This window comes from Homo sapiens, chromosome 2, assembly GCF_000001405.40.
Source record: "Homo sapiens chromosome 2, GRCh38.p14 Primary Assembly".
Lineage (NCBI taxonomy): Eukaryota > Metazoa > Chordata > Mammalia > Primates > Hominidae > Homo > Homo sapiens.
This window is the reverse complement of record NC_000002.12, coordinates 170,765,219-170,778,606: the sequence shown is the minus strand read 5'-3', so window position 1 is coordinate 170,778,606 and position 13,388 is coordinate 170,765,219. Positions and strand designations below refer to the sequence as shown.

General features: G+C 41.2%; 1 protein-coding gene and 1 long non-coding RNA gene across 13 annotated transcripts in view, besides 2 other annotated features; one reads left to right on the top strand and one right to left on the bottom strand.

Moving 5' to 3' along the window:
- Positions 1–8,229, bottom strand: part of ERICH2 (glutamate rich 2) — a 28,600-nt gene extending 20,371 nt beyond the window's left edge. For 2 of the 12 annotated variants that reach the window (NM_001290030.2, NM_001388471.1), the window contains exons 1-4: positions 7,420–8,229; positions 1,430–1,460; positions 1,182–1,230; positions 927–963 (exon numbers count right to left, since the gene is read on the bottom strand). In NM_001290030.2, the coding sequence (NP_001276959.1) occupies positions 927–963; positions 1,182–1,230; positions 1,430–1,460; positions 7,420–7,925 (623 nt within the window). In that variant the 5' untranslated portion in view covers positions 7,926–8,229. Of the gene's footprint in view, positions 1–497; positions 964–1,181; positions 1,231–1,429; positions 1,461–2,887; positions 2,955–6,168; positions 7,146–7,179 lie in introns of those variants that run through there. The other 10 variants (XM_017003875.2, NR_110644.1, XM_047443999.1 and 7 more) reach the window with 10 other exon arrangements.
- Positions 7,132–7,271: a silencer, noted in NCBI's record as "silent region_12092". NCBI's record gives its function as "represses an Ori minimal core promoter by ATAC-STARR-seq in GM12878 lymphoblastoid cells {active_cell/tissue: GM12878}" and the evidence as "EXISTENCE:reporter gene assay evidence [ECO:0000049][PMID:35858748]".
- Positions 7,592–7,651: a silencer, noted in NCBI's record as "silent region_12091". NCBI's record gives its function as "represses an Ori minimal core promoter by ATAC-STARR-seq in GM12878 lymphoblastoid cells {active_cell/tissue: GM12878}" and the evidence as "EXISTENCE:reporter gene assay evidence [ECO:0000049][PMID:35858748]".
- Positions 7,841–13,388, top strand: part of ERICH2-DT (ERICH2 divergent transcript) — a 70,399-nt gene continuing 64,851 nt past the window's right edge. Inside the window, exon 1 of the long non-coding RNA NR_110185.1 lies at positions 7,841–7,905. This is a non-coding gene — a long non-coding RNA (ERICH2 divergent transcript). The remainder of the gene's footprint in view (positions 7,906–13,388) is intronic.

Sequence of the window (13,388 nt, the reverse complement as noted above, 5' to 3'; positions counted from 1 at the left end):
AAATAAGGTCCTCTGTCACTGATTTGCTATACATTACTTTCTCTTTAATATAAAAACATGTATTATATAATATGTAATATACATATAATTTACAACAAAAGCCAAGGTGGACATTTTTCGTTTTGACAATATGAAAATTTAAATATATGTTGTCTAGGGTAGAATTTTTCCCAGTCAATATTTAGAATAAACAAAAACAGTATGAATTTGAATAGAAGAATCCCACCAGAATAGTACCTACTAATTTGTCAGTAATCCCCACAAATGTGTTTATGATCAACTTTCAAGCTGTAATTTTTCATAGAATAAATAGAGATTTTTTTTTCAGAAAGTAGGAGATGACTACAGGAAGGGCTTTAATAGATTATCAGAATCAGAGCCTTGAACAGAGAAGATATTTAAAATTTAGCTACTAAATTGATATTGTACTGTGATTTTTTTACACTTGATCTTAGCCAAAAGGCTGGAAAGAATACAATTTTTTTAACACCAGTTTCTTCAACTAGTTGAGGTGATTACTTTCTTTATTGAGTAGTAACAATTCATGTTATAGTAAATAATTTGTTAATTTTAAAGTACATATTCACTTGAAGAAATATTGTGAAAGAAATAAGTATCAAAGGGAAATAGGAATGAGCAATGAAAATTATGATACAAGTAAAATACAGAATACAGGGTGTTTAAGCATTAAAAAGTAGAAGTGAATATTATCTATACTTCTGCATTTTTATCAAAATTCATTTTTCATTTTAACTGTCCTTCTATCTATAGTAACAATTGCTTTGACTGCAGCAAAAGCTGAAGTGCTAATCCATGCATTTCTGGCCTTTCAAATTTAATTGGGTGACAAATGGCTGCATTATCTAGTTCTAATTGCTTAAAAGGCATGGGAGAGATCAGCTGCACAATCAAAGACATCTTCTTACTCTGACATTGCTTCGTTTGATTCAATCATCACTTTTTCTGAAAGAGAAAAAAATACCCTCAGTATTTTATTAACACTGATGTCCCTGACATACACTTCTAAATGGCAAATATTTAGGATTTTTAAAAGGATAGGCAACATAATAAAGGATTTAATTACTAAGTCATTCAATGACACTCAAGATTCCAATAGTCTTCTTACTATTTAGGACAAGATAGTGGCTAAACATATTCTTTCAAAGTAATAAATCATTTACCGTTTGGATCAAACATTAGCAATCTGCCATTCTGTTTGTTCTTTGCTGTCTAAAATAGAAGCAGAAATAAAAACTAGCATTATTATTTTAGTTTGAGATATTTGAAATAATTTACTAATAGCCTTTATGTAAACATTTCTACTAGCTAGAATAAGATACAATTTTATACTAAAGCTGGTTATTTAAAAACTGTATAAATTGATGCTAAAATAGACTCAAAACATCCTAAAAAAATTATATACTCTCACCTTTACAGTATCTGTCTTGTCTACAGAAGTCCTGCAAAAACCAAAATATTTACTTCATAAGTCTCTAAACACTTATATAGATTTAAAATACAAATAGAACACAGAACACAGTCTGTCAGTTGGGTATTAAGTATGTATTTTGTTTTTGTATTTAGTAGCATTATTTCCATTCTAACTGTAAAACCTCATTCTTCTGGATTATGAAATTTAGTTTTAAAAAAATCTAGAGAAATTAAGCCTTCTGGGGGACGGGGTGGGGAGGGAGAGAAGCACAAACGATAACTAAGGGGTACTGAGCTTAATACCTGGGTGATGAAATAATATGTAAAACAAACCCTCATGACACGTTTACCTATGTAACCAACCTTCACACGTACCCCCAAACCTAAAATGAAAGTTAAAAAAAAAAAAAGAAATTCTCTGTTATCTTTTTGGTTTTACATAACTTATCTGCCACATTCCAGTTTATTGGTGTCACAAAAATAAAAAACAGCTTTTAAGGCCGGGCGCGGTGGCTCAAGCCTGTAATCTCAGCACTTTGGGAAGCCAAGGCAGGTGGATCACCTGAGGTCAGGAGTTCGAGACCAACCTGACCAACATGGCGAAACCCCGTCTCTACTAAAAATACAAAAATTAGCCGGGCATGGTGGCAGATGCCTGTGATCCCAGCTACTCGGGAGGCTGAGATATGAGAATAGCTCGAACCCAGGAGGCGGAAGTTGCAGTGAGCCGAGATCGCACCACTGCACTCCAGCCTGGGCAACAGAGCGAGACTCTGTCTCAAAAAACAACAACTACAACAACAAAACACCTTTTAGAGTACATGTGACCAGAACAAGAAGAAATTCTTCCACAGTATCTCAAGCTATGGTATTTTTAATAAAGTATTATTTAAACAAATACATATAGAAATTACTTTTGATTCTAAAATATAATTCTTACCTCATAAGTTCTCATGTGTTTATTAATATAAAGGTACAATGTTTTCTCTATGAATTTTTACCTAAATTACCTGATCATAGGACTGATTTTCGTATAGTGTAGCCTTTTATATATCTGGATAAATTTCATTCTCATAGTTAAGAGAAAAATAAACTCTTACTTTTTTTTCAAGTATGGGAGCGGCCACACTTAAAATTTTCCTAAGTAACAATCCACTTCCTCACCCCTCTAACACTTGTTCCCACACCCAAACCAGACTTTAAAAATTATCATAATTATTACCTACTGAGGGATTTCTGGAATATAAAATTCAGGGCCAAGACTGTGGACATTAAAAGCAAAGCGTCATTATTTCGTATTGTTTTTATTTTTTTTAAATCCAACTCCTTTATATTGACTTATGCTCCTGAATAAAGCAGCTGTATATAAACTTCTGCCTCAGGCTTTGCTTTCTGGGGAACCCTGACCAAGCCAACATTACATACGTTAATTCGATTAGCTCTCCAAGAGGCTCACAGAGGACTAAAGTCTATCAGAACAGCACGGCATCTTTTGGGGAAACACAGTTGTGGAAGACCAAACTCTAGGATAAATGAAAGATTTTCCTCTGGTTATCTAGGGCAGCAAAGCTCCAAAGACGAAACAAAGCAATAATGAACTAAATAAGGCCTTAACAAAAGAAATCTAACATCATCTCCCCTGAGAGACACTTTCATTTCACAGAGTTCCACAATCCCCTGGGTACCTGTATATAAATGTGATGTACAGCATCACATTTATATTTATTAATAATATTATTATTTTGAGACAGAGTCTCGCTCTGTCACCCAGGCTGGAGTGTGATGGTATGATCATGACTCACTGCAGCCTCGATCACCTGGGCTCAAGCAATCCTCCCACCTCAGCCTCCTGAGTATCTGAGACCACAGGTGTGCACCACCACATCCGGCTATTTTTTTTTTTTTATTTTTGAAGAGACAGGGTCTCACTTTGTTGCCCAAGCTGGTCTTGAACTCCTGGCTCTTAAGCGATCCTCCTGCCTGGGCCTCCCAAAGTGCTGGGATTGCAGGCGTGAGCCACCTTCCTGGCCCACCTTTAGAGCAGTCCTCTCCTTTCTAGCTCTAGGATCTTCAGGGATTGCAACATTCAACTCTTCACCTAGATGAAACATTCGTGCACATAATTCTCCTCCCATTTTCACCTGGTGAAAACGTAGGATGGACAGATCCCAGCCCTTGATGGAGACCCATGCTCTGCTAGGTCTGGCTTTATCATTAGCTAGGAAATGTCCATTTCATCTCCTTTCATTACACTGAATTCCTTGGGAGGCAGTAAAGAATACTCAAAAGATGGGGCTCTTGGGCTGGGCGTGGTGGCTCATGCCTGTAATCCCAGCACTTTGGGAGGCTGAGGCAGGTGGATCCCGAGGTCAGGAGATCGAGACCATCCTGGCTAACATGATGAAACCCCGTCTCTACTAAAAATATCAAAAAAAATTTAGTCGGGCGTGGTGGTGTGAGTCTGTAGTCCCAGCTACTCGGGAGGCTGAGGCAGGAGAACTGCTTGAACCCGGGAGGTGAAGGTGAAGGTTGCAGTGAGCCGAGAGCGTGCCACTGCATTCCAGCCTGGGTGACAGAGTGAGACTTCATCTCAAAAAAAAAAAAAAAAAAAGATGGGGCTCTTGAGTGAAAGAGACTAGATTTACATCCCAGTTCCTGTCACTTCCCAGGTGAGCCTGGAGAAGTCACTTAACTTCTTTAAGATTCCATTCTTCCATCTGAAAAATGGGGATCACCATGGTGCCACCTTTGGTGGATTATTATAAGGATTAAATGGGATAATCTGGGTAAAGTGTTCAGCAGAGCCTGGCATATAGGAAGGACACTGTTGAAACAATTCAATGTTTTATCTAAAAGAAAAGTTTGGAAAGATGTCCTATGGGGATGATTAAAATTGCTTAGGGAAGCAAAAATGGGCCTTTACTGTGATTGAGACAAGCAGATTATCTCTGAGGGCTTTTAATTAATTTTAAAAACTACCTAAAGTACTGATACTTGTTTAGAAAGATCACTGACTCCAGGGAAAAAGCAGACTAATTTAGAACACAGATAAAGGTGTTTCTTTTAACAGTCCTTGTGGCAATGGGAACAGCACAGTTTATGATAGTTCCAAATTTTCATGCACTATTCAATGTCTATTTAAAACAGGTATTTGGGTCAGGTGTCGTGGCTCACACCTGTAATCCCAACACTTTGGGAGGTCGAGGCCAGAGGATAGCTTGAGGATGGGAGGTCGACACCAGCCTGGGGAACACAGCAAAACTCTGCCTCTATAAAAAATTAATTAGCCAGGCATGGTGGTGTATGCCTGTAGTCTCAGCTACTCAAGAGGCTGAGGTAGGAGGATGGCTTGAGCCCAGGAGCTTGAGGTTACAATGAGCTATGATTGTGCCACTGTACTCCAGCCTGGGCAAGAGAGTGGGACTCTGTCTCTAAAAAAAAAGACAATAATAATACAATACCAGACATTTGATGAGCACCTACTACATGTCACATATAACTATGCTAAACTCTGGGGACACAAAGATGAAGATACTCTACTTTGAGAAGTTCAGAATCTTATAGGTGAAACGGGTACTAACTTCTTATATGTATGTCACAGAGCAAGCTTCAAAATACTATAACAAATGCTTCCCTTTAAGGGGCTACAATGTAATTTCCCATACTGCCCAAACTGAGGAATAGTGATTACCAGGACCAATCAAATTCTTTCTTTTGGGCTCAAGGACTGGAGATACCTAAGGAAGTCAGCAGGCAGTGGAGGCAGAACTGGAAGGACAGAGGTGAAATTGCCTTTGCAAAGATTATAACAGTGAGAAAATTATGACAGTGACACAGATCTGACTTAACTGATGCCATCTTGCTTCTAACCTCCTAGCTGCCCTTGTTCTTTCCTAGGTATAGGCTAAACTAACTTTGGGAAGAAATCAGTTTACAGTTAACACTGAAACAAAGATGATAACCACCCTTTCCCAAAGCAAACCCTCTTCTTGCCTGGGGACCAGACTGCCTTTACAGGATTAACAAATTAGCCACGAGATTCAGAAATTGTAGTTTAGGAGTCATGCAACCAGAGGCCACAAGATTCTGAACCTCCCCAGTTGGTATTATTTGGACTCCACACTCCACAGACTTCAGGAAAAACAAAACAAAACAAAAAAACAAAAACACCTTTTATAAAATGAATTACCAACATTTAAAATTCAGATTTCAAAAAATTTTTATTTTAGATTTCTCTTGTAATATTGGAAGACATTACATGTTTTTCTTCATCCCACTTATGCAATTATTTTACTGTTTTGTGCTACTGGTTTTTATAAGCTACCTTGTAGTCTAATAGGCAAAGACAGAATGAATAAATAGCTAGCTAGCTACACACTCAAGCCCTGCAACTCTGGTGAGAAGGAGAGACAGAGCTGATTAAGCACTATCCTCTATCCTCAGGGAGCTTGGTGGGGGAAACATTACATGATGCAGGAACAATATTTCATGGCATAGCTTCAAATGTGTATACAAATGGTGTCAAGGATCATCCATCACTTACATTCATTTTTTAAACTGACTAAATATAAATTTTATATATTTCCTTTACAGTGTAATATAGTGCTAGGATTCCAGACTCTGGAGTCAGGTTGTCTATGTTTAAATCCCAGTAAACTGTGTGACCTTGAGCAAATTCCTTAACCTCTCTGTGATTCAGTTCCTCAACTGTAAAGTGTGGATAAAAACACCACCTACCTTATAGAGTTAAATTGCAAAGGTTAAAATAATTAGCTACCAATAAATAATAATAGTAGCACTCATCTCCTGCCAGAACTGCAGTTACTATAACTCCTCCTCCTATACTATTGTTAATATTTACAGCTCAGGGAGGCCAGTCCTGAAGGTGAACTGTCACAAATGAAGCCAGTTCTAAACGCCGAAACTGGATGGGGCAAAGAAGGGAGAAAACACTGAGGATGTGGCTCAACCGGTGAGCGTAGGTAGAAAGCTCTGGAATTCTGGAGTGGGTGCAATGAAATACCTAGAGATGCTGGAATTTCAGCTCTGGAAAACTCTTAACACGTAAAGAGAAATGTTATTGTTATTATTGTTCTCCAGAGATTACAAAAACCAAAACTATTTCAATTCACAAAAAACAAAATAAAAATTAAAAAATAAGTTGGATTTGGGGATCATTGTATTTGGTTTTTAGAAAAATGAAACATATTAAAAGACATTTCCGGTGTCCTTTTCAGATTTTTAAAAAGCGACTTCCAGGGGTTCTCCTAGGGTAAAAATAAGATTCAGCCAAGACACCTATGCCAAACAATAAATTGATCATTATACCATGTGTTACTTTAAATGCCACAGGGGCTCAGTGTAGAGTAGTTTGAGTAGTCAAAAGAACAATATCAACATTTTGGAAGTTTCAAGTCAATTTCATCATCTCATAAGATGAGAATAAGGCCCGGGAATATAAATGATTTGTCCAAATTCCATCGAAATTTGTATGGCTAGCAAGTTATATCTAGCTAGTAGTGATGTCTTAACTAATTTTCCAAAAATAAGTAAAAGAATTCCGGGCAAGGGCAAGGACTGAGGGAAGGGGGTCGGGAAGCCCTGGGATGGGCTGGGCCATCTTCGTTATTTGCGGGGAAGGAGTTGGTGCGTGTGCACCGGCCGGTCAAAGAATGGTAGTGTAGACAAGCCTGTCAGAATCGCCCAGTTATCTCCACACCCGTGTAGACACGAACGGCGCTTCCTCACCTCTTCCGACCACTGCGGGAGGAGGGTGCCGCAAGCCAGGCGCACCCCAGTGGCGCGCATCCTCCCTTCCCGGCGGCCCCTGGCAGCCACGGGGCCCGGGGCCCAGAGCCAGAACCAGGTGCGGTAGAGCGGTCCGCAGACTCGGGCGCCCGGTCTGGGGGTGGTCTGCTGTGGGGGCTGGGTCAGACTGCACACCGGGCTAGGGAGAGGGAGACCGGTCGTTGCCTCGGAGTGTCTTACCAGCTGGCGGCCCTCTTCAGCAGACCATCCGAAGGGCACACACCGAGAGCCAGCCCGGCTAGCTGCTCGCGCGGAGCTGGGGGCTCCGAGTCGGGAACGCAGCGTCGCCGTGGAGACTGCACGGCGCGTGGAGGAAGCTCGGGCAGCAGCCGAGGGTGGGGGCTGGGGGAATTGGGCGACGGCGGGGGAGGTGGCGGGGGCGGGGGCGGGGGCAGGGGCAGCCCGGGGAACCACGGAGAGGCAGGGTGGAGGCGGGCCCAGGCCGTAGGGCGGTGGAGGGCGCGGGACGGAGCGGGCGCGGCGAGGAGGGCCCGGGGCGGGGCTGGGAGGCGGGTCCGGGGGGGCGGGGCGGGGCGGGCGGCCGAGCTGAGGGACAGCCCCGCGGTTGTGGGTGTCCCGCGGCGCCGGAAACTGGGCGCACACACCCTCGGATTGACGTGCGCACGCGCACCGGTTACCTTCAGGAGCGCCGAAGAAGGAAAGAAGGTTGGAATGTCGGTGTCCATACCTGATTCTAAGCGAGGGAGAGGGAAGGGGGCGGGGTGGCCTCAGAGTTTTAAACTTGGGGAGTAAAAAGAAGTCTTGAGTTGGGAGAGATGGGTGTCCCTGGTAGTGGATGAACAAGTGTCCCCTGCAGGACTTAGTCCCCCAACCTGAGGTCGCCCCAAGAAGATTATGGGTCTCCGGGGGGAGTCCCTGGACGCCAGTTTTCCCAGAAGTCAGATTCAAGTGATTAGAACCAGAGACCCGGCTCTCCCCCAGCTAGAGCAGCCCAGGTTCCCTCTAGCGCCAGAGCTGCTGCTCTGCCACGCCGGCCAATGGGAGGTATTAGTGTTTAAGTAACTGCTTGGGTCACAGTAGGGGGTGGGGAGCTTTTCTGTTACAGAATTCTAAAGGTCCCTCAAGCTTGGCTTCTAGGAAGGAATTGGTTATTTTTCTCCACTTGGGATGCCGGAAGTAACTAGAATCAATTTGTTGCTAGGCAACGTGTTTTGAAGGACGCGTGTTTGTTGGACTCAAATCTGGATTCGACTTTCACATGGTAGACACATAATATCAGGTGTACTCCCTATTTAATCTCTGGAGTTGCTACCCGCTGAGGATATGTACCTTGGTAGATGGTTGTGAAGCTAAAATGACATAAAAATGTATAAAGCTCTGACATGTGGAAGATGCTTAATAAATAACAAATTTTATTATTATTATAATAAAAATAGAACCAGCTGGACCATTTCCGGAACCAAGAGAATACAGAGACGTGGCCATTTTTTAATTCTCTTAGTCATCTGTTCACATTCATTCTTTAAATCTCCTGTGAGCCCTTGATGATAGGTAGGAGGCAAAGGAAAAATGCCAGAATGGAAGTTTTTGAAAAGAACTCAATGGAGTCATTGACAAATACATCCCTAGTTTGATAAGGACATAGCAGGCCACTGCCTCCTCTATTACAGGAACACCCTTACATAGAAAATGTCTTGTTTGATTGAGGACTTTTCATTTAAACAAGGCCAAGGGTATGTCTTGATCAACACATTTGAAAACATTAGTTTTGTTGAATTTGCTTAGTACTGATGAATGGATAATGGCTGACTGGTTATTCCCATTGATCCACTACAAGGAAGTGTAAGAAAACCTCAAATTTGATTAAACTTTCTTTCTCTACCTATTCTTCCCCCTGACAGAAAAGCTCAAGTTCATTTGTAGGATGCAGTGTTTAGTTTACTTACTGCTCCTGAAGGGAGCAAAAATGGATTAATGGGCTGGGCACGGTGGCTCACACTTGTAATCCCAGCACTTTTTTTTTTGAGACGGAGTCTCCCTCTGTCCCCCAGGCTGGAGTGCAGTGGCGCGATCACGGCTCACTGCAAGTTCCGCCTCCCGGGTTCACGCCATTGTCCTGCCTCAGCCTCCCGAGTAGCTGGAACTACAGGCGCCCGCCACCATGCCTGGCTAATTTTTTTGTATTTTTAGTAGAGACGAGGTTTCACCGTGTTAGCCAGGATGGTTTCGATCTCCTGACCTCGTGATCCGCCCGCCTCGGACTCCCAAAGTGCTGGGATTACAGGCGTGAGCCACCGCACCTGGCAATCCCAGCACTTTGGGAGGCCGAGGTGTGCGGATCGCTTGAGCTCAGGTGTTTCAGACCAGCTTGGGCAACATGGCGAAACGCTGTCTCCACAAAAAAATATAAAAAATTAACTGGGCATAGTGGCACGGGTGCGGTGGGGTAAGGGGGGGTCGAAGCTGTAGTGAGCCTTGATTGTGCCACTGCATTCTAGCCTGGGCGACAAAGTGAGACCCTGTATTAAAAAAAAAAAAAGATTCATGACCTTGGAGAATAAAAGTATGTTCTCCACATCGAGGAGTGGTTAGAGTGATCTGGCTTCCACCTTGGGCCTCAAGGTCTTCAAGTGCCAAGTGGAAATACATGCACTACCTGCCCCTGTAGCTCAGAACATGGAATGAGAGAAAATAAAGCCCCTGACACAGAGCCTCGCACATGACAATTCGTCAACAACTGAGATATTATTACTTCTACCATAATATTCTGTATATAAATAAAAGTACTTTCAGGATAGCCGTAAGAATTAAAGATCATTAGGTAAAGTGCCTGGTCCAGTACCTATTTGAACCACTGATGATTATTTTGCTTCTCTCTGATGAAAAAGCACTACATTTCATCTTTATTTGTATAACTTGAGAAATAAGTCACCTAACTTTTCTGCAGAAGTTATTATTGGTGTTATACTCAAAAATAAAGCACAGTTTAGCCCTGGCCTGTGCATTTACACCACTGAATAAATTACCAAAAGTGTCTGTCTAGCAAGAGTTCGTTCTAACAAAGTGGAGAGGAAGAGCCAGTTTTATACAAATATTGAATCATCCCACAACTACATTTCATGAAACTCCCTGATTTTTTTTAAAAAGAGACTCTTGCTCTGTAGCCCAGGCTGCAAAGCTGGAGTGCAGTGGCCTGACCTCTCAGCTCACTGCAACCTCTGTATCCCCTCAGCCTCCTGAGTAGCTAGGACTACAGGCACAGGCCACTGCCCCCCGCTAATTTTTTTTTCTTTTTTTATAGAGACAAGGTCTCACTATGTTGCGTAGGCTGGTCTCAAACTCCTGGGCGCAAGCAATTCACCCACTTTGGCCTTCCAAGGTGCTGGGATTACATGGCGTGAGCTACCATGCCTGGCTAACTCCCTGATTTTTAATGGACTCATTTTTATTACAGATCTGAATGTTAGCAGTGCCTTATGTTAAAAATGTTTAAATCACTTTTAGTGTTTTTCTAATTATAAAACAAATGCAGAGAAACACAAAAGAAGAAATTAAAACCATCCAGAATTCTACCACTCAGTAATAACCTCAGTCAATAATTCTATTTTTCCTTCTATCCTCTTTGTGCTCACATATATATATATATATATATATATATACTTTACAACATTTGCATTAGATGTGTACACGGTGCCAGCATCCTTTTTGCTTAACTTTTCCTCTTAAACATTTCCCAAATGTATTTAAGCCTCAAAACATTTTTAATGGCTGTATAATATTTATCCATAATTTATTCAAACAGTCCCCAATTTGAAATTTTTCAACTTTTCTTATGTAATTCATTGTTTCAAAAATATTTGTTGAGGGCCGGACGCGGTGGCTCACGCCTGTAATCCCAGCACTTTTGGAGGCCGAGGCGGGCGGATCACGAGGTCAGGAGATTGAGACCATCCCAGCTAACACGGTGAAACCTCGTCTCTACTAAAAATACAAAAAATTAGCCAAGCGTGGTGGCAAGCGCCTGTAGTCCCAGCTACTCGGGAGGCTGAGGTAGGAGAATGGCGTGAACCCGGGAGGCGGAGCTTGCAGTGAGCCGAGATCGCGCCACTGCACTCCAGTCCAGGCGACAGAGTGAGACTACGTCTTAAAAAAAAAAAAAAAAAAATTGTTGAGTACTTAGTATATACCAGGCATTATGCCAGACATAAGATTTAATTGGTGAACAGTAAACTATAAAAATAAGGTTTTGATGAACATCTTTGTAAACAAATCTTTGGTGGCATCTTTCATTTTTAGACTCAATTCCTAGGACTATGAAAACAACTTCAAAAGGCATTCTTCGAGCTTCAAAGGCAAATTTAAGAAACCAAATTTCTGAACTGTAAAATATTAACTTTTTGGAAAACTACCAACAACGGAATTAATATTTATTTCGTGCGAAGTGTGAACTTACCCAGAAGATGCTTTCTTGTTAGTTACTGTGAAGTACCCAGGGTATTTGAAGTGTATTGACTTTGGCTTTTACCTCTAATCCTTTCCAGGATTTGCTGGTTTTCTCAACAGTGTGAGATTGTTTGAAGTCTATGTAAATTGCCCTACTTCCTTCTCTCAGTTAAAATGTTAACTATTTTATTTCCAGCTTTCCTCTTGTAAGCATGTGGCTTTGCTGCATTTCTTTCATTTACCTTTTCATGTGAAACATTTTGTATTTTCACATTTATTAATCTGAAGGCCGATTTTTTTTTCTTCTAAACCCAAATTATAATACATATATTCCTATAAGACATGGACTTTACATATCCTGTAGTTAATATTTGTCAAGAAACATCATATAAATTAACCAATGCATTTAGGGAATTTAATAATAGATATTATTTATTAAAAGCAACAATCTTTCCTGCAACACACCACATACACACACACACACACACACACACACACAAACACACACATACCCTACTATTCTTTGACAATTAAACATTCATATATTAGGTCAAACCATATGAAATTACCATTCGTGGATAAAAAATGGTCAAATAATGGCAACTTCATATGGCTTTATTTATATTAATATTTTATTAAGTAGTTTATATTTTTTCAACTTTCTTCAAATACTGAACTTCCTGATTATCATACTAAGGATATCCTTTTTACTGCATGAGATTGTGTTTGTTTTGACTTTCATAAGTATTAGAATCTAGTCAGGAGGGTGCCATAAAATGTTTGTTTATTATTTCAAAGACAGTAGAGGGAGCCTGGAGCCAAAACAGTGTTATTGTAGGCTTCATGGAAATGATTATTATCCTCCAATTCTTGATGTGTGGATAAATGTAAATACTAGTATATATGTGAAATACCAATTTTTTAAATATTTATTTTAAAAAAGGTTGGTCGGGTTGGGCATAGTGGCTGACGCCTATAATCCCAGCACTTTGGGAGGCCGAGGCAGGTGGATCACTTGAGGCCAGGAGTTCGAGACCAGCCTGGGTGATATGGTGAAACCCCCGTATCTATTAAAAATACAAAAATTAGCTGGGCATGGTGGGCCACTCCTGTAATTCCAGCTACTTGGGAGGCTGATGCAGGAGGACCGTTTGAGCCTAGGAGGTGGAGGCTGCAGTGAGCCGAGATTGAGTCACTACTGCACTCTGTCCTGGGCAACAGAGCAAGACTCTGTCTCAAAAAAAAAAAAAAAAAAAAAAAGTTAGTTGTGCTTAAATGACTTTCATAAGATGTGAAAGAGAAAGTTGGCAGCTGAACCTCATCTGGGCTCACACTGGGGCCAATCAGAATTTCATTGTTCTCTCTCTTCTCTGAGTATTGCTAGAGACAGCACACTGCCACACGAACACATCTGTGCTCTACAATTTCCCCCTTTTCAAACCATAGTGTTGATCGCCCTTTCATTTCCATGGGCATTAATATCATGATTCTTTATGTCAACAGAACTTCAAAATATGTTACCATTCCCAATTTTGTATCTTACAGTCATTGTAGTTTAGTTGATGGCTTCCTCCAGACATATAAGGAGGCACTTGGATCCTGTCACCAACTCATATCCTAGGAAAGTGTTTAATAACTTAACAATCCTTTCACGGACTGGGAATTTTGTTACCCTTAGTTAAAGATGTCTCTTGCTGAGCTCTCCTCAATCATCTTTGCCCTTAGCCCAATATTTTGTTAAGTAC